General features: G+C 37.9%; 1 protein-coding gene and 1 long non-coding RNA gene across 2 annotated transcripts in view, besides 1 other annotated feature; one reads left to right on the forward strand and one right to left on the reverse strand.

The window, feature by feature from the left end:
• ZNF474-AS1 (ZNF474 antisense RNA 1) overlaps positions 1-26,881 on the reverse strand; it is a 41,478-nt gene that overhangs the window by 13,802 nt on the left and 795 nt on the right. Inside the window, exons 2-4 of the long non-coding RNA XR_007058915.1 lie at positions 22,106-23,385; positions 18,068-18,192; positions 1,579-2,623 (exon numbers count right to left, since the gene is read on the reverse strand). This is a non-coding gene — a long non-coding RNA (ZNF474 antisense RNA 1). The remainder of the gene's footprint in view (positions 1-1,578; positions 2,624-18,067; positions 18,193-22,105; positions 23,386-26,881) is intronic.
• Positions 1,718-2,917: an enhancer, noted in NCBI's record as "BRD4-independent group 4 enhancer chr5:121464631-121465830 (GRCh37/hg19 assembly coordinates)". NCBI's record gives its function as "activates an origin of replication core promoter dependent on BRD2, P300/CBP, MED14 and CDK7 cofactors, and independent of BRD4, by STARR-seq in HCT116 cells {active_cell/tissue: HCT116}" and the evidence as "EXISTENCE:reporter gene assay evidence [ECO:0000049][PMID:35650434]".
• Positions 2,328-26,351, forward strand: ZNF474 (zinc finger protein 474). The gene is made up of 2 exons (NM_207317.3): positions 2,328-2,465; positions 24,561-26,351. Exon 2 carries the CDS (start codon positions 24,773-24,775, stop codon positions 25,865-25,867), a length of 1,095 nt encoding a protein of 364 aa, NP_997200.1. The 5' UTR covers positions 2,328-2,465; positions 24,561-24,772; the 3' UTR covers positions 25,868-26,351.

Below are 26,881 nucleotides of genomic sequence, written 5' to 3' on the forward strand. Positions count from 1 at the left end.
GCCCTGCTTTAGCTCAGAAATATCCACTCTCGTGATGTTTTCCTGAGGTTGTCCTGTCATAGGCCAACACTTCCTGTCTCTTCTGCCATCTGGCCCAAATAGCCAGCCACTGGACTGAATATTGGGTGTGCATTTGGGATGATGTTTATTTATTGGGCACTTTCTTTAGAGAAAGATCACATTTAGTTCACAATAAGGCCGATAAAACATGCAGTTTGTGTAAAGTGAAAAGTGTGTTAACTAGGGGCCTACAGGTCAGTAAAAGGCAACAGGTAAAACAGGGTTTTCTTGCCGCCATCTCAACATTTACTCACTGATATTATATCAGCTCTATGTCATTGTATGCATGTATTATTATTTGTATATGTATCGTATGATTTCAGAAGCATCTTAATTAGAAATATTTTATATCATAAATTAGATATCTAGAATAGTTAGAGCGTTATTGCAAGTTAGGATGTGAAACGTTACTGTCCCTTGGGATCTCTAGACTGTGTGGCCTGAAGAGTCACTTCAGCAGAATTAAGAGTCCTGTGAATTACCTCCATATCCCAATTACATTATCTGGGGACAAGGAGCAGGGCTGGGGAATATTAGAGGTCAAGTTTTTGTTCTTTTTTTTTTTTTTTTTGCTAACCAGTAAGGAACATTCAGTAAAAATGTTCCTTAATCTCACCACTCATAGGTAGCCACTGTTAACACTGGGATGTATATTCTTTGAGTTAATTGTGTGTTTGTGTGCACATGAGCACACACAAAGAATTTGATGAGATTATACTATTTATTCTGTTTTGTAGCTTCTCTTTTTCATTTAGCAATATATTGTAAACTTTTTCCCAGGTCAATAAACTGTTGCCTCATAAGCTTTAATGCTTGCAGAATATTTAATTGTAGAATTGTACTACAATTATCTTAATATCTCAGAGTATTTTGAAATACGAATCTTGAAAACACTGCTTCAGATATATTTTTAAATACTGGCCTTAGTTTTTAAAATATTTTCTATGTTTTAGGACATGTTAGAAAAATAGATTAAGCATAGCTTCTACATCTTGTGGTTGCTTGCCTTTTAGACCAAAACATAGAACATGCTTTGAGAGCCATGGAGACTATCCATCTTCCCTGTTTTAGAGGAGACCAAGCTCTTCTTCTTCTTCTTTTTTTTTTTTTTTTTTTTTTTTTTTGAGATGGAGTTTCGCTCTTGTTGCTCAGGCTGGAGTGCAACGGCGCTATCTTGGCTCACTGCAACCTACACCTCTCGAGTTCAAGCGATTATCCTGCCTCAGCCTCCCAAGTAGCTCGGATTACAGGTGTGTGCCACCATGCCCGGCTAATTTTTGTATTGTTAGTACAGACTGGGTTTCACCATGTTGACCACGCTGGTCTTGAACTCCTGACCTCAGGTGATCCACCCGCCTCAGCTTCCCAAAGTGTTGGGATTACAGGTGTGAGCCACTGCGACTGGCCCAAGCTCTTCTATATAGATGGTATTAGTATTAGTCAGGGTTCTCTAGAGGGACAGAACTAATAGAATAGATGTGTATATGATGGGAAGTTTATTAAAATGTATTGACTCACATGATCACAGGGTAAAGTTCCACAATAGGCCATCTGCAAGCTGAGGAGTAGGGAAGCCCAAAACCTCAAAAGTAGGGAAGCCGACAGTGCAGCCTTCAGTCTGTGTCCAAAGGCCTGAGAGCCCCTGGCAAACCACTGGTGTAAGTCCGAGAGTCCAAAAGCTGAAGACCTGGAGTCCAATGCTCTAAGGCAGGAAGCATCCAGCATGGGAGAAAGCTGAAGACCAGAAGACTCAGCAAGTCAAGTCCTTCCACATTTTCCTGCTTTATTCTGGCCACACTGGCAGCTGATTAGATGGTGCCCACCCAGATTGAGGGTGGGTCTGCCTTTCCCAGTCCACTGACTGGAATGTTAATCTCCTTTGGCAACACCCTCACAGACACACCCAGGAACAATACTTTGCATCCTTCAATCCAATCAAGTTGACACTCAATATTAACCGTTACAGTATTTTTTAAAGTCCCTAGAAAAGATCAATAAGATAATCAGTAAATATTGTTTTCTTTTCTTCTTTAAAATAAAACGCTGTGTTTCTACATCAAGAAGAGCCTGTGACTTAAATTTATCTGTCCCTGTTGGTTGCTCAGTCCATCGGTAAAGTTCCTGGAGTCAATTTAAAAGAAAGCTGAAATCCATACCTACTTTGCTCTGTTTCCCATCAGTTACTAGAGAACTCAGTCCCGTCCCTTTTGTTGACAGGTTGCCAGGATACATCCAGGCAACAAAGACTGCGGTTCCTGTTACTCAGCAGCCTCAAAAACTCACACCAGCTCCTGCAAGGAATGTGAATCTTGGAGCTCCCAGCTATTCTGTTCCTGTTTCTGTCAGCTCCTTCCCTGAAAACTCAGAGGTGCTCAGCATGCCATGCTAAAAGGCAAAATAAAAAGGTAAAGAACAAATGTCACAAGGTGAGGCTCTCGCAGGGTGTGTGCATTCTCTGTTGTCTGGTAGGTCTTAAACCTTTCAACTAATAACAACTGCTTCTCTTAGATATTCTTGTTCTCTTCCATTGGCTTCTCACCAGTATTCAGTAAATATTTCCTTGCTATTGGGAAGAAATACAAATGACGATAATAATAATAATTAGTTCTTAAGTGAAAAATCTCAAGTATTACTAAACAAAACAATAAATGTCATTTTACTTCTTTGGATGCTGACAATGATGAGTGAACTATGGATTAGATGTTCTAATACCTAAAAAATAATAAAATTGTATTTAAAAGAATGATTTTTAAAATAACTTTCTTCAAAGAAAAGTAGATGAAGTCAGGTTTTAACATTAATTCAGAACTATATGTTTATTAGCCAGATTATCCATGAAAGAAAAGGGGTATTAAAGGCTATAATTACTCAGTTGTCTTGGCTTTTTTTTTAATTATTTGAGATAAAATCAACATGGAGTAAATTGTAACCAATCTTGAGTTCTTAAATTCAAGTTTCTAAAATCAATGAGTTTAACAGGTATATACAACCATGTCATGGTCACCTCAGTCAGGGCACGGGACATTTATTTCACCCTGGAATGTTTCCTCACATCCTTTCCAGCCAATCTTCCCTCCACAGGGGGCCACTGTTTTGATTTCTGTCCTCAAAGAATAGTTGGCCATTCATGAACTTTATATGAATAGAATGATACCATATATATTATATTGTCAGACTGACGTCTCTGGCTCAGCAGAATGTTTTTTCAAGCATTTCAATGTGGGTTTTTAAGTCAGTAGTACAATTCTTTTTAAAGGTAAGTATAATTGCATTATATGCTTATTTTACATTTGTTTATTACATTGATTGGTAGTTTGTTTGTTTCTAGTTTGGTCCTCTTATAGCTAAAGCAGCTATAAAGATTCTTCCACAAAGTATTTTTCTCCTAATTTTATTTTTTATGTCTAACTTTTTTCCAGCTTTATTGAGGTATGACTGACAAATAAAAATCACATGTATTTGGGGTTTCTCATGAAATGTGTTGACATATGTAGACATTGTGAAATGATTACCACAATCAAGCTAATTGAAGTATTCATCATATCACATAGTTACCTTTTTTTGGCTGTGGTGAGAATGCTTGAGATCTACTATCTTAACACATTTCAATTATTATTAATTATAATAATTCTTAATTATAATCACAATGCTGTACATTAGGTTTCTAGCATTTACTCATCTTATAGCTGAAGGTTTGTACCCTTTGCCTATCTTCCCTTCGTCTCATCCTCCACTCATGGTAACCATTATTGCACTCAACAGGTAGGTATATGAAGATGCTCACCATCACTAATCATTAGGGAAATGCAAATAAAAATCACAAGGAGATATTACCATACATTTGTGAGAATGGCTGTTAAAAAGATAAAAGATAACAAGTGTTGGTGAGAATGTGGAGAAATGGGAACCCTTATACACTGTTTGTGGGATTGTAATTTAATACAGCCATTATGGATTATGGAAAACAATATGGAAGTTCCTCAAAAAGTTAAAAGGAGAACTACCATCTGATCTAGCAATCCCACTGCTGGGTATATATCCAAAGAAAATGAAATTAGTATATTAAAGAGATATCTACACTTCCTTGTTCATTGCAGCATTATTAACAATGGTCCATATGTGGTAACAAATTATCTATCAACAGATAAATGGATAAAGAAAATGTGGTATAAACATACAATAGAATATTATTGAACCTTAAAAAAGAAGAAAATACTGCTATTTTCAACAACATGGGTGAAACTTGAGGACATTATACTAAGTGAAATAAGCCAGATAAGGAAAGACAAACACTATGTGATCTCACTTATATGTGGGGAAAAAAAAAGAAGCCTGCACAAGTCTTATTAGATATATGTTTTTATTTATTCTGGATTCGGACCCAGGAGTGAAACTAATGAGTGATAGGGTAGATATTTGTAATAAATATGGAATAATATGTCACAGTGGTCATAATTTGCATATTCCTGATGACTAATGGAGTACTTTTCATGAACTTCTTGGAGATTTGTATCTTTTTAAAAATTATCTATTCATACCTTTTACCCATTTAACATTTTTTCTTTTTAATGTCTTTTTCATTGATGTATAACTCACATATAATAAAATGCACCCATTTTAAGTACAAAATTTGATGAGTTTTGACAAATGATTATATCCATGAACCAACAAAGACGTAAATATAAGAAAACGTCCATTAACCTTTGTAGTCAATTTTCCTTTCATGCACCTACCCACCAAACAATAACTGATATACTTTCTGTCACTACAGATTAGCTTTGCTTATTCATAGAAATGGAATAATTAAGTACCTATACTTCTTTAGCATTTGACTTTTTCGGCAGCACATTATTCAAAGGGATCCATGTAGTGTATATTAGTAGTTTGTTCATTTGTATTGTGAAACAATATTCTATTGTATGAATATGCTATAATTTTGTATTCATTTATCCATTGATGTATATTTATGTTATTTCCAGTTTTTCACTACTATGAGTAAAGCTACTGTAAACATTTGTAAATGACTTTTTGTGGACATATACTTTCATTTTTTTAGGTAATTATTTAAAATGTCAATACCATTGGGTATTTTAGAATTTAACTTTATAAAGTTAAATTTTTAGATAATCCAATTTTTAAATATATGTCTTGCAAACAGTTCTTCCCAATCTATGTCTTGCCTTTTAATTTTCTTAATTTTTTTAATGTGCAGAAGTTTATAATTAAGAGAAAGTATAATTTATTATGTTTTCTTTTATACTTAGTTCTTTTGTGTTTTGTCTAACAAATCTTTGCAAATATTAGGATCATAGATATTCTCTTCTTAAAGTTTTATCATTTTTGCTTTTATATTTAGTTCCATGATCCATCTTGAGTTAATTTTTGTGTGTAGTGAAAGTAGGGAGTTGATATTTTCTCCCTATGTGCATCCAGTTGTTCCACTCTCATTTGTTAAAAAGATTTTCCTCTCTCCATTGAATTGTCTTGGCATCTTCATCAAAAATGAATTGATCATGTATGTAAATTGACCATATGTTTCTGGACTGTCTATCCTGTTACATGGATCTGTTTGTCTATCCTTATTGGCATATTAATTTTAATAAGCCAACTTATATTATTTGAATACCTGAAGCAAGTATTCAGAATAAATATGGAAGCTGAATTCTTCCATGACTGCTTACTAGTGAACCATACGCAAGAATTAGAATCAGGTTGGGCAGTCCTCCTTGCATGTTGCCCAAATGTTTCCCCAGGCAGCAACCTTATTTTAAGTGATTCTGTAATAAGCAAAAGCCAAAAATATAGTTATAATCTTATTCAGGAATCATAATCCCAGTGAAAAAAATAAGTATTTTTCAAGCCCATTAATATAGAATGTGACTTGAACTTAATTTTTATTTGTTAATTTATTCAGTAATTTATTGGGCATCTACTATATTCCAGACACTGTTCTAGACAGGAAAAAGCAGGAGGAGAATATTTATTTGTTCATAATTTCTGCAAGAAAACATTATTTATAACATCAGCTCTGTTTCCTGTTTAACAGTATATTTCTCACAATTACAGAGAAAAATCTATACCTGGTCAAATATGCATCAGAATAAATGTCATCACATATTCTTACGAATTGACAGAAAATTATAAACATTCAAATGTTAACTAAGAAAAAATATTTTCCAGCATCTCCAAATCTTGCTATCACTTCCATAAAATACCTATTTCTTTTGAGCCTAAAATGTAAACTATTATTTCTATTAGTTGCATTTTCCAGATTATTTTATTCATTCATTCATTTCTTTGAGAAAGGGTCTTGCTCTGTCACCCAGACTGGAGTGCAGCAGCACAATCACAGCTCACTGCACCCTCGACCTCCTGGGCTCAAGCGATCCTCCTACCCCAGTCCCCCAAGTAGCTGGGACTACAGGTGTGCACCACCATGCCTGGCTAATATTTTTTACATTTTGTAGTGATGAGATCTTACTATGTTGCCCAAGGTGATCTTGAACTCCTGAGCTCAAGCAATCCTCCCACCCTGGTTCCCAAAATGCTGAGATTACAGGCGTGAGCCATAGCGCCCAGCTCCAGCTTATTTTAGAATTCAAATCTTATCTATTATTTCTAAGAGAATTTTTAGTTTTACCAACTGGACCTTCATATGACTGTTTCTTCTCTGGGTCTACATAATTTGAATAAATATGTAATCTTATTTTAACTCATTTTCCCAGACTATCTGGGTGAATGATACATTTTCAGGATTATATGCAATTCCAGAAGTAAGTTGTAAATGGTGAAGAATGTGAACAATTCCAGAACACCCTTCCTGAGGGATCAGTGATGATTTCTGCGGAGTCTTACAAACACGAAGAAACAATTTCTAAATATCATTGCACACAAATATGGCAATAGGAATACACTATGTTGGGAGCAGCAGAGAGGGAGAATATAAAGAAGGCAAGTTGTTAATCATTTAAAAAGAATGGCAAAGTGCAAATAGAAGGTCCCCCAAGGTGCAATGCAGCCAAGCATTTGTTTGAGAGGAGACTCTAACAGGAGCCTTATGGAGTTCTGTGCAGACAGCACTTAGTAGGATTCTGGTTGCATTGAGTGCTATAAGTTCACATTGATTAATAACTTGATGTCTTAATGTTAAAATGAAATCTAATTTAAATGGTCTAACAGAAGGGTTAGAAAATTTTCTTGTCTTTGCCCAAATGGTAAATAGTTAAGGGCTCGTAAGCCATACACTCTGCCATTGTAGGGCAAAAGCAGTCAACGACAAACATAAATGAATAAACATGGCTGTATTTCAATAAAATTTTATTTACAAAAGAGCTGAACGATGGCCAGATTTATCCTGTAGGCCATAGTGTGTCAGCCCTTCTAATGTTCAAGGAGTTCTGATGAGATACCTTCCAAAAATCATACATTGATACTGAAAGGCCTGTGGCCTTGAAAATGTTCTTCTTGAGTGCCTGGTACTTGGGGGTTCTCTTTAGAAGGGAGATGACTAGATAATTATATGCAGAAGAATGAAATGAAACTCTTATCTCTCTCCATAGAAAAAAATCAAATCAAAAAGGACTAAATCAAATCTAAAACATAAAACTATAAAACTTCTAGAAGAAAACACTGGGAAAACACTCTAGTACATTGGTCTGGTCAAAGACTTATTGAGTAAGATCTCAAAAGCACAGGCAACCAAAACAAAAATGGACAAATGGGATCACAGCCAGCTAAAAAGCTTCTACTGAGCAAAGAAAACAATCAACAAAGTGAAGAGACAACCCACAAATTGGAGAAAATATTTGCAAACTACCCATCTGACAAGGGATTAATTATCAGATAATATAAGGAGCCCAAACAACTCAATAGTGAAAAACCAAATTATACATTTTTAAAATGGGCAAAAAGCCAGGCTTGGTGCCATGCACCTATAATCCCAGCTACTCAGGAGGCTGAGGTGGGAGGATCACTTGAGGCCGTAAGTTAGAGACCAGCCTGGGCAACATATCAAGACTTCATCTCAAAAAATTTTTTTAATTAGAAAAAAATTAAAAATGGGCAAAAGGTCTATATACATATATCAAAAGAAGTCATGCAAACAGTCTAAAAATGTCCAACATCACTAATCATCAAAGAAATGCAAATCAAAACTAAAACAAGATATCATCTCATCTCAGGTAAAATGGATTTTATCAGAAAGACAGGCAATATTGATTGGTGGCGAGGATGTGGAGAAAGGGCAACCCTTGTACACTGTTGGTAGGAATGTAAATTAGTACAGCCACTATGAACAGTATGGAAGTTCCTCACAAAACTAAGAGTAGAACTACAATATGATCCAGCAAACTAACTGCTGGGTATATAGCCAAAAAAAGTTGAAATCAGTATGCCAAAGAGATATCTGCACTCCCATGTTTATTGCAGCAATATCCACAAGAGCCAAGGTATGGAGTCAAGATAAGTGTCCATCAGTGGATCAATGGATAAAGAAAATGTGGCACATATACTCAATGGAATATTATTCAGCCATAAAAAGAGTAAAATCCTGTCATTTACAACAACATGGATGGAACTAGAGGACATTATGTTAAGTGAAATAAGCTAAGCACAGAAGGACAGTAGAACATGTTCTTACTCAAATGTGGGAGCTAAAAAAAAAAATGTGATCTCATTGAGATAGAGAGTAAAATGATGGTTGCCAGAGCTGGGAAGGGTAATGGGAAATGAATAAATAGGGGTTGGTTAATGAGCCTAAAAATACAGTTAGAGGGAATAAGACGTAATGTTCAGGAGCATAACAGGGCAACTATAGTTAAAAATAAGCTACTGTAAGTATTTCAAAATAATGAAAAGACTAGAATTGTGATGTTCCCAACACAAAATAATGATAAATGCTTGAGGAGGTAGATATCCCAATTACCCTCATTTGATTATTACATGTTGTATGCTTATATCAAAATATCATACCTATGCCATAAATATGTACAACTATTATGTATTCATAATAATTAAAAATTTAAAAAAGAAGATATCTGATTTCCAAGGGAAATTAAATTTTGAAAGTCATTAGCACTCAGAACATATGTGGTCAAGAAAAACAATGTATGAATAAACTTAGCTCAGGGAAGCCAAACTCTGTGATTCTCCTTCAGCTTTCTACCTAGTTAGGCAGTGCCCCCAGCACAAGTGACTAGCTGCTCGTATGGCTACCTTTGGTGTGCCTGTCTAGGTCCATTCTCTAGGGAGCAGCAGCACATCTATTCTGGTTGCTCACTACTTGATAATCTTTACCATGAGGTATAGTGCTTGGTCTAGTTCATGGTCCTTGGAGAGATTCTCATTTATCTTGGATTCAGTATAGTTATGCTTTTAAAGCTATAATATTATTATAATTCTAATTCCTTGAGATAGTATTATAAAAATGAACAAGAATTAAATGATCACATATGTGTAAGACTTGAGAAAATATTACAAAGCTGTCTGATAACACTTCTTTTCCAAAAGCCCCTTTATGTTTTTTATTCCTCATATAAATAATGAACTTCAGTTTTGTTTAAAAATTTAATATAACATCAAGCTAATCTCACTCAGCTAGGTCAACATTAAATTTATTTTGTTATGACCTACAATGTGCCTGGCACTGGGCGAGGTGCTGGTGATATAACTATGTAGAGAGCAAGTAAGTCTCTATTGTCTCGAAGTTCACATGCAATTTAAAGAGATAAATATTACACATGCAAACAAACAGACAAAAACATAGGTGCTGAGTGCTGTAAAGATGATAAACAGTGGCATCACTGAACATAACTATGATGGATGGTGATGGTGATATCAGTTCCATGAATGAACATGAATGGGCATGTGTATGTGCATGTGTATGGGTGCAGGTGGGTGTGTAAGTGTGTGTGTTTGGGACAGAGGGAAAGAAATTACTTGAAAAAGAGTAGTCAAGAGTTCAAGGCCAGCCTGGCCAACATGGGCAACAACAGTAGCCCATCTCTACTAAAAATACAAAAATTAGCCAGGCGTGGTGGCAGGTGCCTGCAATCTCAGCTACTTGGGAGGCTGAGGCAGGAGAATCGCTTGAACCTGGAGCCAGAGGTTGCAGTGAGCCGAGATTATGCCACTGCACTTCAGCCTGGGTGACAGAGTGAGACTCTGTCTCAAAAAAAAAAAAAAAAAAAAAAAAAAAAAAAGAGTAGTTAAGAAAGGCCTGAGTTGACAATATTTAAATAGAGACCTGAAGGATAAAATAAGAAAGCTAAGCAAAGAACTGGAGGAAGATTCTAGGCAATGGCAAGAGCATGTGCAAAGCCTCTTCCCAGTCCCTCCCCCAGTCTACCCCAAAGTAAGAGAGAGTTTGACTTGCCTGAGGAACTGAGAGATGAACATGGATGGAGCATGGTGCAGAAAAGGGAGAGCAAAAGGAGATAGGCAGAGACTGAGGGAGGTACCAGGTTACAGAGGGCATTCAAGGTCAAGAGGTTGGATTTTATTTTGAGAGTAGTGGGACAACCATGGAGCAGTCAGTCAGCAGAGGTTTAAGTTGTGATTGTAGCTTAAGGAGTTAAATGTGACTGCTCTGAAAAGGATAGATGAGGGTTGAGAGCGGAAGTGCCTCTTCACCTATGTGGTTGAAACAGCCCACAGATGCGAGGCGCACCCGTTCACCTGCCTGGCATTAGATTTATGAGTGCAGGCAAAACAGCCAAAAGGAATAACCAACCACTTCAATGCTAGATATGGAAATGCTTCTACATAAATTGATGTAATATCACAAGAGGTTATCCAATATCAAATGGGTAGAATGAAGACAGGAGTGAAAAATCATGGGAAAGGAGATATATTAAAATGCAAAGGCAGAAAATACTAAGATGAGAAGGGGAGCAGAAGGAAAATATAAGAAGATGATAGAATAGGATAAGATGTTTTTTTCAGCCAAATTATTAATGGGCAATCACATAGGAAACAAAAACATGCTAAATATTGTTTAGAGTGTCTGTTAGTGCCTTTTCCCTTTTCCCTCACTGTCTAATTCCTTACCTTGCATTTCACATGCAAACCCACAATAAGAGGGGGAATCTACTTGAAGAGCTGAGGCAAAGGCAAACATCCTCATGATCTTCTCAGCCTGGCCTCACCACCAATGAGACTTCTCCCAAGTTCAAAGATATGTTCAAAAGGTTATTTTAGTGAAATTATTGTGAAATGAACAAAGAACAAAACGAAGAGTAGTGAGGACTGGAAATAGAAGAAAAAGGCAATTGGGCAAAGACTCAAATCTCGAGTTTCAGTTAGACTCTCAGCCAACAATTGTCCTTATTAGTACCATATGACCTAGTTACAATCCAGCATATCATCACTAAATAAGTGTCAGATGGACTAGCATTGTGGCATGGATTAATTACTAAATGAAGATTATAACATTGATTATCAATACATCCCCTTGACCCGGAAGAAATATGGAGAGGAATGCATAAGGTCTGTGATGTATGTGTGTATGTGTGTGTGTGTATGTGTATGTGTATTCATGTGTCTGAACAATTGGAAGCAGAGTCTTCAGTGAGGTGATAATAAGTATAACTGATAAAATTCTATTTTCTTGACAATCAAGTATACATATCCTTTGAAAGAATGGAAAAATATATAATTATTTTGTGAAAGACTTTTTCCATTTTGGTTCATTTTAAAATCATAAATGTGTAATAAAAGTTAATATTTACATTCCTTGAATCAGTTCATGGCATTTCCACTCAAAAGTACTAAATGATTGTAAAACATTAAAATCAGATAAATCTTGGATTGCTTTATCTGTTCAGTTCCAAGTGAACCATCTTATATATGAAACATATGACATTTCAATCAACAAAAATTAAAACCACACTTTCCCCTTCAGTTAACCTGTTTCCAATGTAAAATACCATGTCAAACGGAGTTTAATTATTTGAACTATTGGGGCATTTATGTGTGTTAAGCAGTTTCTAAATAAAGTTTTCAACAGAGATTCCCAGAAGTAGCACAGGAATGCTGTTTTAGCTAAAATTATTTAAATTAACATTACCCATTCCTTGCCTATATGAAACAGGCTTCATTATCATTCCCTAAAAATGTAATGATCTTTCATGTAACCAAATTTATTTTATTGTCAATTTTATAACTGGAATTTTGCAGTCAACTAAAAAGGATCAAGATTTGTGACCTAAAAAATTGTCATTACTTCATGATATTTACAGGACAAACCCTAAATGTATGAATTTTCAAATATTGATTTCATAATGTCTTCAGGTAGTTCAGCCCATTCTGTGTATTTTTTCCATATAATTATGGTACTATAAGATCCTGGTATTTGAAAAACTAGAAAACAAGGAACATGATGATGTGAACAAGTAGATGAAAATCAGCTTATAACACTTAAGTTGGGAAGAAAGAGTAGTGACTGAATAAAAGTGAAATATTAAGAAATTGTTAATGCCTGTTGAAAAGAAATAAGGACATGACATCACATCTGCACGTTCCTGCCCTGGGATCCAGAGTAAACTTGTTATTTCTCAAGATAGAGAAGAAAAAAGCTTTTAAGGCAGCTTAGGAGTTATTTGCCATATTTGCATTTAATGGAGTGGTCTTCGTAGAGAGGACTTACAAGCACAGTGGACAGGAAAGGTAAAGGAGAAGAGTGAAAAAAGAGGATGTTCCTGATGCCTATTATTGGTGTCCCATGAATGTAGGCCAATGGAATTCTCTGAAAAGTTTGCCTAGAAGCTGGGCTAACCACAGACCATCACGGAAAACTCTCACAGGTGAAGAGCTCTTCTAGACCCTGGAATTGGAAACCCTAGGTATTACTGTAGAATGTTTTGTCCCTTCCAAAATTCATGTTGAAATTTAATTCCAACCAAAATTCAGATGCTACCAATGTGATAAATTCTTATTAAAAACAGCAGTAGTGGATACTTATTAAACAGTTGACAAAATTATATAGAGCTTAATACACATACGAGTGCAAATAAAACTGAGGATTCTGACTTAGCTCAGTAGATTGTATCAACATCAACAACTTGGTTGAGGTATTATTATAGTATAATATCCACACTATAGTTCTGCAAAATGTTACCCTTGAGGGAACTGGGCAAGTGTACAAGGGATCTCTGTATTATTTCTTTCAACCGCATATGAATCTACAATTATCTCAGTAAAAATTACAATAAAAAATACAATTATAATGTCATCAAACCTAAAAAATTAACATTAATTCTTAACATCTGAGTGGCAAGATATATTTTAAAAGATCATAGTATGATAAAACAAAACAGAGTGAAATACACCTAGTATACAACTATAAACTGCAATTAAATCCAAAGGGAGCATACAGGCAGGAAAAGAGTAAGGGACCCCCATCTTTGGGACAGCTACATCATGTTAATGCTATCATTAGTCTTTGTTTGACACTCTTCTACCTGTGGAGAATTTCCAAATCTGGCTCAATTATAGACAAAATATTCAGTCTCACTCCTGTATTAAAATGAAATCTACTTCTTTCTGGGCACCACAGGCAGCATCTCCAATGTTCTTGTGCTATTTTACAGTATATTCCAAATTTTATCCTTGCTTTGCTCATGTTTATGTAGAGCATACAGAATGGGTATGAGCTGGATAAACAGCAATACCCATGAGCTACTGATGCCAAGGGGACATTTAATGGGGTTACACACAAGTGTCATGGCACAGCAGGATGGGGGATCCATTTTAGGTTAGGATTCCATATAGGAAATGACACCACAAAATGGAAATGTGTTTTCAGCTTTTATTTTTTTATTTTTTATTTTATTTTATTTTATTTTATTTTATTTTATTTTATTTTATTTTATTTTATTTTATTTTATTTTATTTTATTTTTGGAAACAGTCTATTGCTCAGGCTGGAGTGCTGTGGCGCGATCTCAGCTCACAGCAGCCTCCAGCTCTCAGGTTCAAGCTATTCTCATGCTTCAGACACCCGAGTAGCTGGGATTACCCCTGGCTATTTTTTTTTTTTTTTTTTTTTTTTTGTGAGAGGGAGTCTCCCTCTCTTGCCAGGCTGGAGTGCAATGGTGCAATTTTGACTCACTGCAACCTCTGTCTCCCAGGTTTAAGTGATTCTTCTGCCTCAGTCTCCCAAGTAGCCGGGACTACAGGCATGTGCCACCATACCTGGCTAATTTTTGTATTTTTAGTAATGACGGGATTTTGTCATGTTGGTCAGGATGTTCTTGATCTCTTGACCTCATGATCCATCCACCTCAGCCTCCCAAAGTGCTGGGATTACAGGCATGAGCCACTGCACCCGGCCCTAGCTAATTTTTTGTAGAGATGAGGTTTCACCATGTTGGCCAGGCTAGTCTTGAACTCCTGACTCAAGTGATCTTCCCGCCTTGGCCTCCCAAAGTGCTGGGATTACAGGCATGAACCTCTACACCCAGCTCACAGCACGATCATCTTTCTTTTGGGGGCAGTAGGAGAGAATCTGTTTCCTTGGTCTTCCTGCCTTCAAGAGGTGCCTGCATTTTTTAACTCTTAGACCCCTTCTTTGGAACAGCTAATTGAGGCCCTTTCACACTTGAAATTTTTTCTGCTGCTGTCTATCTCTCACTGACTGGGGAAGAAGTTCTCCACATTTGATGACTCATGTGATTAGACTGGGCCCCTCACTTCTAATGCTGCTTTCTCCAGAATATAATGAAGTTAAGATATAAGCCACATTTTTCTAGTAGTGAGCTGGAATTGTTGGCATCGCCTTCTCTCTCCAGCCAAATGGAAAATCCAGAGGACATTAGCAGTGGGTGTCAACCATAGGGTGCTATACTCTTCACTCTCTTTCTAATGGCATCTTATCCTTATTGGGTATTCTTATTGGGTTGTCCTAAACTTAAAGCTCAGATAGATAGTGGAAATAATGAAACAAAGTGAAATAGAACACAGAAGATGGGAAAAAAGACCCTGTTGAAAACACAAGAAAGATAGGACACATCAGCATCCACAAAGTTGATTTTAAATTAAACTCTTCCCATCCAATATCCTAATATTTCCAATCTTATGTGTGACTTAAAATATACACGTGATCTTTGTGTTTACTAAAGGCAGACAGAACAAGGCAGTTGAGAGTTATTGGTCATGGAGTGGAAGGAGGCTTTCTATAAATGTTGAACCACAAAAAAATTTAAACTAAAAGCTGAAGAGGTTTTTAAATGAACCATCACCACATTGCATGTTTGTTTGGGTCTGGGGACACAAAGAATGAACGTTTCCCCTAGACACCAGGCGACTCATTCTAGTGGTTTTCTCCAGCAGTGGATATCTTGTATAAGCTTTCCTGGGAAATGAGAATTTGTAGGGCTGAGGATTCTGAATCATCAGTGAGCTCTAACTATGTGGCCCATGAAAGAGAGTCTTGTTGCCATGATTCAGCGATGTCAAATGGTATGACAATCATATTTTGATGACTTATTCACATAGAAGGATGAGAGATGTGGGGAGAACAGCAACAAAAAGCCCAGGTTCAGAAACAGCCTTCAGTTTGTGGGCACACACAAACAACCAGGTCTCCAGAGTCACTGCCAGGAACGTCATGGCGAGCATATCAGAAAATAGAGGCACATTGATTCATGCACACAGCAGAGACCCAGCCTGCCTTATGGACTCTGCTGTTTTTGACTTCCTTCCCAGGCATTTTCCTCAGAAACAGCTTTGGGTGGAGAGCGCATTATTAACAAAGGGTGTTGATGTCTGTAATGAATGGTATTGATAATCAGTGTAAGTGTTAGCCAGGCTCCAGGAGGCACTGACCTCCTGGAGGTGGACAGAAATAAGGCACAACTTTGAAACTGCTGTAAGGTAAGTGAGTGATGTATCAGAAAGGTTCCTCCCGGATTCAGTGAGCCCATCTCTCTTATGCCAATTTATCCTGGCCTAGCAGCTCCGTTCATGCACAACTTTATTCTTCATTGTGTTTGTTTCCACCTGGACACACAGAAGTGACCACACTTCTGATACTAACACAGCGTGGCTCAGAAGTCTATGTCAAAAGTGTCGCACCGAGTTCAACTAAATCAAGAGTATAAAGACAGTGGGAACTCTGTGCAAGCATATCACATGATGGGGGCTGGCAAACATATGCATCTATTTGCAGTTCTTTTAAAATGTAGATACTAAAATATGGTTATCTGTGGATTTTTCCATCCAATGTTTAAAAACCATAATATATCAATTTTAGACACTTGATGGCTATAGATCTCATTCTAGGTCGAGAAGGGGCTACTATACTGTTCTTATACGTTTGCAGTTCAAACTAATTTATAGGTATTTCTTGACAAAATGGACAGCTTGGCAGAAAGAAAAAGTGTACCAAATCCTGTAATCCCCACAAGGAAGCATAATTCTCTTATAAAGTATTTCCAGAGCAAATCTTTACAATCCAACTATGGTCTATATTGCTAATAGCTTATTTATGGTTCTTTTAATTGGCTGATTATTTCTTTAAACTAATAATCTAACAATCCTCATCTGGGGAGTCATTTAATGGTGAAGAAAGGTCCATTGTCTTAAATAGAAGAGTAGCTCTTATGATATCAACCGATCAATAAATAATTATGGGAATGTCTCCAAAAAGTTTAGGTGATCCACAAAACACAATTTTGTCTGTTTGTGTTTTCCTTTTTTTCTTTTTATTTCTTCTATAATCCCACCTGTAGCTGTTCTAAACACTGGCTGCTTTATTTTTTTCTCTAAAGTTATGTATATATTATCTTCTATAACCCTTTAATAACTTATGAAAATTCCTTCTTAAGTCACCGATTCTGTCTTTTCTTCTTGGATTTTACCCTCCCTCCTAGACCGAAGCATTTCAGCCCTAATCTACTTTCATTAGGAAGATTCCTTCCTAAATATTCTAAATATTTACTAATAAATATGTTGTATTTATAACAATTATATCCTAGAAGACTTCAGTTGGATTCTCAGTTCCTTGAAGTGATTTTCAATATTTAATTAAGAAGAAAAATGTCCCCACAGGACACTTTCAAGCAAGAAGCATGAACTATAAATTAGTGAATCCGGCTAGTGAGAAGCATTGGAAGAGTAAAGGCTGGCTCTCTGAGCTACAGGCACAGCTGTTACTCAGCATCAGCTTATGTTAGATGTTGCCACACAGGAATGTGGGCTCTGTTCTGCCAGCTCTTCCACTTTTCAAGAGAAACCAAAAATCCTTATTTTATGTGACATCTCCCAATTTTAAAATAACAGGAACTAAGTCAAGCAGTTTTGACTTTCTACAGGCTAAAAGGAACATAGCTATGGACCAGATGTGCCTATGAGCCAATGCTTAAACAATATTGAAAAAGACATATTGGTATAGAGCTATCCTGTTGGAAGAAAATTATCCTAAATGAGAGAAAATATGGCATGTGAAATTCCTTTGAAGACTTGTTATTCGACTCTTCCACTTTTTTCTTTTTTGGGCTATCCTTTGGATTTCTATATATTATAGGCCTCTAATGTGATTATACTGACGGTTTGTATAACCAGTGCTCCACCACTGCAAATGTCAATATTACAATTATATGATCATACCTGTGTGGCATTCATGACTCTTGGGTACTCTGTGATTTGGATACTCAATATAGAGTGAAAATTACAGGCTTGATCTAACAGTAGTTTTCATAGGGTGATATTATAAGCCTTAACAACATAAAATGCCTTTGGCAGAGGGCTCTAGTTAGAAGCGCAAAGAGTGCATTTCTCTCACTTTTTTCATAGCTTTTCTAACACCATAGACTATTATGTTCATACCTGACAATTAGATTGAATGAAAGTGAAAGAACTTATTTCTTGACCTAAAATTATTCATAGTGAAGGGGAGACAAAGAAAAGGAATTTTTTCATCAGTTATTTATAATCAGTCTAGAAATGCCAATATTTTCTCAAAGCCATGCCTCAGGCTAAGTGGCTTTTATGAAAATGTTTCCACTTTTTACCTTTCAAATGCTGCTCCTATATTTCTTAAACCATACTGCCTCTAGGTCCCAGCTGCTCTCACATGGCCTTTCCCACTCACATTAGATTGGCTGAGGTCTGCAGATGCCATGGTACCAGACGCTGCCTAGAAAAGAGTATGCAGAACCAGTGAGAATGAGCCTGACAAGCTGCCCTCAACACTCCTGGTCATCTTTGGTCTATGAGTAGGATCACTTTGCTATGGCTTCCTCTGTGGCAGTGGTGGCCTTGTGGCTTGGGGGTCAGCAGGTGAAGAGTGTCATATAAAATTTAAAAAAATACAAGCATGCTTAGAACAGTAGGCTTCCCTTATGAATTTGTTCATCTACTGGAAAATGGAAGAACAATACATTCTAGCTCTTAAAGCACTGCGATAGTGTAAAAATAACAAAAATGCATTTTCAGTGGTCTGAGTTGAGGATTAAATGTTCAGATAAGCATCTTATTTTGTAAGATTCTATGAAAGAATTAATTTGCATTTATATTTATTGCAATATTTAAGTAATATGCAGCTTGAATATCACAGATTATTATTACTTATATTTTGAGGGTTGTTACATCCGTTTGAATTATTAAAATTTAGAAACTTAGAAGAGGCACCCTATGGAGTTGAAACTCAGATCTCCAAGGAGGACGCACAGACTGGCTGGTGATTGCATCTGGTGGGGAAGGGTCAGTTTGTCTGGTTTTACAAATTTGGTTGGATTCAGCTGCTGCTACTGAAAAGAACTGCTGCTGCTGGAGTAGAGGAGTGTTGCTGGAATAATGCTCACAGCAAGCACATGCACACAGGAAGCCTTTAAAAGGATTAAATGGCCTCTTGCTCCCCACTTCTTGCATTCTCCTCCCATTATTCCTGTTGGCAGAGCATAACACAGAGCCAGCTTGCAAAGCAGAAATGGGCTGTGCATAGTCCCTGTACCCATATCATAAAGCTAAATATAGAAAAGAAGGTTGGGAGTATACAGACAATAAGTTAATAACTGGCACAATTTTGCTATCTGCTAGCTCTTTAATAAGCTTGTGGAAAAAATAGGCTATTTTTAATAAAAAATAGTCATTAAATTTTTTTTCTTAAAAGAATCTCTAAAAAAGGAAGTGTGATCAATTTCATAAGAACCATTGATCCAGTATTTATAGTATCAATTTTTTAAATTTCTGATTTTTAAGAAGTGTATATTTAATAAGTCAATTCTGCGCCCAAACCTCTACTCCCTCAAAAAAAATTCCTTCATCAAAAAAAATCTGAAATTTGAAATAACATTATTAGGATGAATTGTGCTAATCACCAGTATTAAAATACAGATATCTCTCAATTAGTATTAGGTTTCCATGTGAATAACAGACTCTTAAAAATGGCTAAAATAAAAATAAAAATTTACTTTTCTTATGTAAATAAAGTCCAAGAAAGGCACTCCAGGGCTTCTATGATGGTTCCAGCATTACCAGGGACCCAAGTCCATCCAGGCCTCTGCTCTGTCATATCAAGTGTTACATAAATGAAATCTGTTCTCAACTGGCTGCTAAAGCGCCAGTCATCACATCCATCTTCGAAGCATCAGTAAGAAGGAAAGGAAGAGAAGCAATTGTTCTCTTCTTCCTTTTCAAGAATTGTTCTTACAAGTTCCACACAATATTTTCACTAACTACAAAGGAGCTTGTAGATGTGCCCAGCTGAAAGTTGGGGCTCTATTAATTGAGGGAGTTGAGTGGAATGGCTATTGGTAAGGAACTAACTGTCTCTGCCGGACATTAGAAGGGACATTATCTCATCAATTATAAGCCTTGGTGTAAATGAGTCCATCAGTTCCTTTTTGAAAGCAAGATTTCATAGGTAAGACGGACTGGTGAGCATACAAGAATACTAGGCTGGAGAGTGGAGGCTGCTGAATGGGGTGGGTGAACAACATTGAAGATGAACCTCCTCTATTTTAGAATCTTGATCAGAGCCACCATCAGCCCCAACTCCATCTTTCTTGTTTATGTTTTTGTTCATTTAAAGAATTTGAATTCAATACTAATAGAGAAGGGATCATATCATGTATCAACTATATTTCTTTTGTTTCAAAGGGCTAGATTTTTTTATATACTTTAAGTTCTAGGGTAAATGTGCACAACGTGCAGTTTCGATACATAGGTATACATGTGCCATGTTGGTTTGCTCCACCCATTAAATCATCACTTACATTAGGTATTTCTCCTAATGCTATCCCTCCCCCATCCCCCCACCCCACAACAGGCCCCCATGTGTGATGTTCCCCGTGCTGTGTCCAAGTGTTCTCATTGTTCAGTTCCCACTTATGAGTGTGAACATGAGGTGTTCGGCTTTCTGTCCTTGTGACAGTCTGCTCAGAATGATGGTTTCCAGCTTTATCCATGTCCCTGCAAAGGACATGAACTCATCCTCAAAGGACTAGATTATTTTTTAAAAGATATGATCACACTTTTCATTGTGTTCTGTTCCCTCTCTTTTAGAGAGACACCTTCTAATGCCAAGATGGTTTTTGGATTTCCACGGTTATTACATTCTTCTTTGTGTGTTTGTCTCTCCCTTCCCATGAACCCTGAAGAGAATGGAAAAATGGCATCATGTTGATAAAAGGTGATGCCTTCCAGGACATTCTGTAAATGTCCTATGTGCAGATATGGTCAAAACGAATAATTCAGGCCAACTGAGTGAACATTTCTCCAGAGATGCTTGAGGTAAAACTGTCTGGCTTTGCAAAGTGGTTCTCTTTATAAACTAGCAACATTGCTTTATGACGTTTTGGGTGACAGGCCAATTTCTTATGTGATTTAAGTATATGCATTTAGTATTTTCCAGCACTTTTGCTTTTAGAGCTAACTTATAAAGGGAGAGCAACCAACACTGCTGTGCCATGGCATGTTGCCTTTGCACAGTCACTGGCAGAAACATTACGCATTTCTCCATAAGACACCTCCGTTCCCAAAAATTTCACTGGCTTCCAGCTACCTCATCTTTCATATTTTGATACCTTTAGTCACAATAAGGGAAAAATTTCAGGAGAACATTGGAGAAGGAAAGGGATGGTAGAAAAAGAAAAGTTGAAGATTCAAATGGACGTTTTGTGATGTTTCATCGTGTTTGCTGCAGAGAAAATATTTGCAGTGCACAAATGTTTGTGTGCGGTAAGATCTATCCCTAATCAAATGGTGACATGGCTTCAAACTGAGCACTACCTGGCCTCTTGGGGCAGCCTTCACTTTTACCCTGTGCCCATGATCAAGACAGACAAAACACATCATTCATCGTTGGTCTGCCCCATTCCCCCAACTGGTCCCTACCTCTGCTGGTTATGTAGATTTTTCTGAAGATATTGGTGAAATTAAGAAAAGAATCTGTACTGCACATCACTCAGGAAAAACTACATCTAGAAAACAACTGTATATGGCAAAAGTGATTCTTTTTTTTCTTTTTTTTTTCTTTTGAGATGGAGTTTCACTCTTGTCAGCTAGGCTGGAGTGCAATGGCGCGATCTTGGCTCTCTGCAAACTCTGCCTCCCGGATTCAAGCGATTCTCCTGTCTCAGCCTCCTGAGTAGCTGGGATTACAGCCACCATACCCAACTAATTTTTGTATTTCTAGTAGAGACGGGGATTCACCATGCTGGCCAGGCTGGTCTCAAACTCCAGACCTCAGGTGATCCGCCCACCTCGGCCTCCCAAAGTGCTGGGATTACAGGCATGAACCACCGCGCCCGGCCTGGAAAAAGTGATTCTTAATGCAGAAACAGAAAACCAAATACCACACGTTCTCACTTATAAGTGGGAGCTAAACGTCAAGTACACGTGGGCATAAAGATGAGAACAACAGATAGTGAATGCAAGCGGAGGAAGGGCTGAAAAACTACCTATTAGGTACTATGCTTACTACCTGGGAGACAGATTCATGTGTACTCCAAACCTCAGCATTACACAATATGCCCATATACCAAACCTGCACATGTACCCCGAACCTATAATAAAAGTTGAAGAAAAAAAGTCCCCTGTCACTTAACATTGAAAACATTGTGTTCCATAGCCCCAGTCTCTCTCTTCTGCTTTGTCCCTCTCAGAGGCTTCTCCTCTGTGCCTTGTCTGCACTCCTCCTTCTTGCCTCTTCTTTCTTCTAAAAGGAAGCATAACAGCTGGTGAGAGCTTAGTTACCTTCCCCTGAGGCATATGGATAATACATTAAAACAGGGATAAAAACTAAAGGGAAGAAGCTCTGCTGGAGGAATTTAGGCAGAATGAATAATGGAAAGAGCCACGTATTGGAGCCAAAGAGAGCTGGAATTGATTCACAGTTCTGTCATTTAGAAACTGACAGTCTTGGGCAAATTACTTGTCTTTTCTGAGTCAGTTTCTTTACTTATAAAGTTGAAATAATAATACCTGCTTCATAATCATTTGAGAATTAACTAAAATTATGTTTACAAAAAATCTGTGCCCTATCTGGCATATAATTGGCATTCAGTAAATATTACCTCTCTTGCCTTATCAAAAGGGAGATGGAGGGGTTGCTGGGGAAAGTCATGGGGATTTCTCAGTATTCTAATCTGCTGGAAACAGAATTGACTCTGTGTGTGTGTGTGTGTGTGTGTGTGTGCGCGCGTGAGAGAGAGAGAGAGAGAGAGGGAGGGAGAAAGAGACAGAGAGAGAGAAAGAGAGGCAGAGACAATTTAGGGGAAGGAGGCTTATTTGATTGCATTGATTTTTCTAATCTGTCTTCTTAAGTCATATTAGTGTCTGCAATTTCCTAGTATCAAGGAAAATGATAAACTAAAATTCCTCGGTGAACAGAGCCAATAAAGCAGAATGGTTTGTGGAAATAACCCACGGGCTGGATTTAAAACCTAATGAAATAATTTTACCCTATTCCTATGTTCCATAGATCTACTTTCTCTTTTAGATGGTACTGATCGAGTGATAAATTTCTCTGTTTTATTTTCTATGCTGGCCACTCTGGGGCCAACACATACTTTTCCCACATCTGTTAACATTACTGTCTTAGAATCTGTCAAAATGAAGAATAACTTCTTTCTCTGTGCCAGACCTGATTTGATACTCTTAAAGGCAAGGATTCAGACCTTTGTTGGCACCAAAGTACAGGAGCTGGGCACAGATATCACAGCTCTTCTTGTTCTTTATCAAATCCAGTGCCCAGGGTTTCCATATTACCAGGACTGCTGGCCTTGCACTGTCCAAACTGAAGTGTTTGCCGTGATGTAGAGGATCCAGCTTCATACCAGGGGCTGCTCTTCTGTGGTTAAGAATGGATGCTTTAGAGTTTATCACCCTGATAAATGAAACGATAAAGGAAATGAAAAAGGTCCTGAGGCTTCTGAAATAATCTTTTTGGGGAGCCAGATTATAAACCCACGGTAAAATTTACTCATAACTTTTCCCAATATACAAATTTAAGATTCTTCCCATAAATGGATATCTAAGCTGCCACTTCTTCTGGTGGGGATCCTTGGGGAATCCAGGGCCTTTGTTTTATATTTAAAAATATTTGGAAGTCATACATATATAAAACAAGAAAGTAGGTATGATACCTTTTTAATAAAAAAAGAGCCTCAAGCAGCATCTGTGTATCATCTTTCCATGAAAGATCTGCAGATATCCCACCAGGATGGGTGCCGGCCTAGGCTGTACTCTTTGCTGGAGAATTATAGCTCCACTTTATTAATACCCTATTCCCATAATAAACAAAAGTGAATACATGATGTGTCACAAGAAGTTTATGTCCCTCTGAGGGCTATCCTGATAATCCTCATAAGATTCATTCTTGAATTACTTCTTCTGCAAGAGTTCTTAATTTCAGGTCCATGGACACTCAAGAAGTCTGTGACACAACTTTACCTCAATTAAAATGTATATCACAACTAGAAACAGTTGACAAATTATTTCAGTAAAACTGATTTCACCTGTGATAGCAACAATTTTTATTTTTACTTATAAAAATACTATTCTGAGAAGTGCATAGGCTTCACAGAATTGTCAAAGGAATCCATGTCACTAACAAGTTAAGGATCTCTGACGTAGTGGAAGTTTCTGTGGGGCCCAGGGGGTCTTTTCGTATGACCTGCTGATTTCATTAATCTAATATTCACAGTTTGCAGTTTTCTCTTCTATGGTCTCACCACCCTGGTCTCAGCCTCTATTGCTTTGCGTCTTCTGTATCTATGATGTGCTGTAATTGTCAAGTTAACTTTTTGGGCAGAACACGATTTTCAATACAGTGATAGTGCAATTGATGATGGAAGATTTCCTCAGGTTTATGTCAGTTTATTGACCAAATCCCATATGCTGGTTACTGTGCTAGTCAAAAAGTATACAAGGTCAATATTTAAAACAAGCAAAAAAAAAGCACACACACACACACAAAACAACCTAAATGTGTGTGTGTGTGTGTGTGTGTGTGTGTGTGTTTACATAATAACTTCTTATGTCTCCCACCCGCCTCCACAGATCTTGGAGACATCTCAGCTTTAATGAGGACTTTCCAACATTCCAGACTGCCGTCCTGCAATGAAGCTCTGAGTCACGGTCTGTGAGGCTAAGGTACTGGCAACGGTGTGAACCCCAGGACAACTAACCTCACTAACCTTCACTCTAAGCAGAAGCCCAAAGTGAGTCTGGCCTGAAATCAGAGCAAGCACTACAGAAAGACATCTTTGTTAATGGAAAGAGGAAAGAAGAAAAGAATTTCCAATAAGTTACAACAAACTTTTCACCATTCTAAAGAACCCACTTTCCTTATCAACCAAGCTGGGCTTCTCTCTAGTGACTCCTATTCTAGCCTTTCCCCAGAAACAGAGAGTGTTAATCCTGGTGAAAATATAAAGACAGACACTCAGAAAAAGAGACCTGGGACTGTGATACTATCAAAACTGTCAAGTAGAAGAATTATATCGGAAAGCCAGCTTAGCCCCCCTGTGATCCCGGCCCGCAGGCCTGGATTCCGGGTATGCTATATCTGTGGCCGAGAATTTGGGTCCCAGTCAATTGCCATTCATGAACCCCAGTGCTTGCAGAAGTGGCATATTGAAAACAGCAAGTTGCCCAAGCATTTGAGGAGGCCAGAACCCTCCAAACCACAGTCTCTCAGCAGCAGTGGGTCCTACAGTCTTCAGGCAACTAACGAGGCTGCATTTCAGAGTGCCCAGGCTCAGCTGCTGCCCTGTGAATCCTGTGGCCGCACATTCTTGCCAGATCATCTTCTTGTTCATCACAGAAGCTGCAAGCCAAAGGGTGAGGGTCCCAGAGCACCACACTCAAACAGTTCTGATCATCTTACTGGCCTCAAGAAAGCTTGTAGTGGAACCCCAGCCCGACCAAGGACTGTTATCTGCTACATATGTGGTAAGGAATTTGGCACCCTGTCCCTTCCTATTCATGAGCCCAAATGCCTGGAAAAGTGGAAAATGGAAAATGACCGGCTCCCTGTGGAGCTCCACCAGCCACTCCCACAGAAGCCTCAGCCCCTTCCGAATGCACAGTCCAGCCAAGCGGGACCAAATCAAGCTCAGCTTGTGTTCTGCCCACATTGTAGCCGAATCTTTACCTCAGACCGCCTCCTGGTACACCAGAGAAGTTGTAAAACTCATCCTTATGGGCCAAAATATCAGAATTTGAATTTAGGGAGTAAAGGAGGCCTAAAAGAGTACACTAATTCCAAGCAGCAAAGGAACAGGGCAGCACCCAGTGTAACTGATAAGGTAATTCATGCCACACAAGACGCATTAGGTGAACCTGGTGGTGCCCTCTGCCTGTAGGGGAACAAGAGAAAACTATCCCCAGAATCAGCCACCTCAGCCCCTAGTATTTTTTCTATCAATGCCTTGTATCAGCCTCAAAGCAGCCTGTTCAAGTTAACTCCCTGTTGAACTCCAGGGCCTATACCTCTCTTGGCTGAATAGATATAAGAACATCCTTGCCTGATGGGTTCATATTCCTCTTCAATTCTGCTGTCTAAAAGAAGAAGAGATGGACTTCTTTCTTCCCTGATCCCTGATACAAATAATCCCTGGGAGAGACAGTAATTTGAAAATGAGTCATTAATGCTGTGTCTACATTACAGAGATATAATTCCCATTCCAACAGCCAATATTTATTGTCGGTTTATTTTAGTCATCTACCTTAGGAATTCATTTTTGGCAATGCTGGGTTATGCTGAGTTTATCTTACTAAAATAGAATCTGTGTCAAAAACCCCCAATGACTTTAGCAACAATTAAACACTGAAGCACTTGCAAAAATACACATGGTCTGTAAATACAGCATATTTTTTCTTTTGACACGTACATGGTTGTAGTAAGTAGGAAATTAACCCCAATGTAGACACTGAAGCAACTAGGTTATATTCTGGGAGGTGCTTGGTTCCTGCTGCTGCTCTGTGCCCTGTGTTCAGGCTGAAGACAAGGCCCTGACCCCCCCACTTGGGCCATTGTGAATAAGCATGACCCCAGGAACCCCCAGCTTGAATGGCAAAGAGTTTTTAGGGTTTTATCTAAAGTTTCACCATGGGCAAGGATTGGAGAGAGTTGCTTACGAGGATGGCTACCTGCAAGATAGGGCCTGGTCCATGTTCTTTGTCCATTAAACCAGATTGTGGTTGCTTTGTCTTGTGTCAACCTTACAGAATATCAAATTATGAGAAACAGGAAGTGGTAAAAGTCTTTTTTCCATGGCTTGCTACTTGAAAAGCCCAGCCTGCCGAGATAATGAATTCTTAAGAAAACTAAGATTAGGCCAGGTGCGGTGGTTCATGCCTGTAATCCCAGCACTTGG

This window comes from Homo sapiens, chromosome 5 (assembly GCF_000001405.40).
Source record: "Homo sapiens chromosome 5, GRCh38.p14 Primary Assembly".
Taxonomy (NCBI): Eukaryota; Metazoa; Chordata; class Mammalia; order Primates; family Hominidae; genus Homo; species Homo sapiens.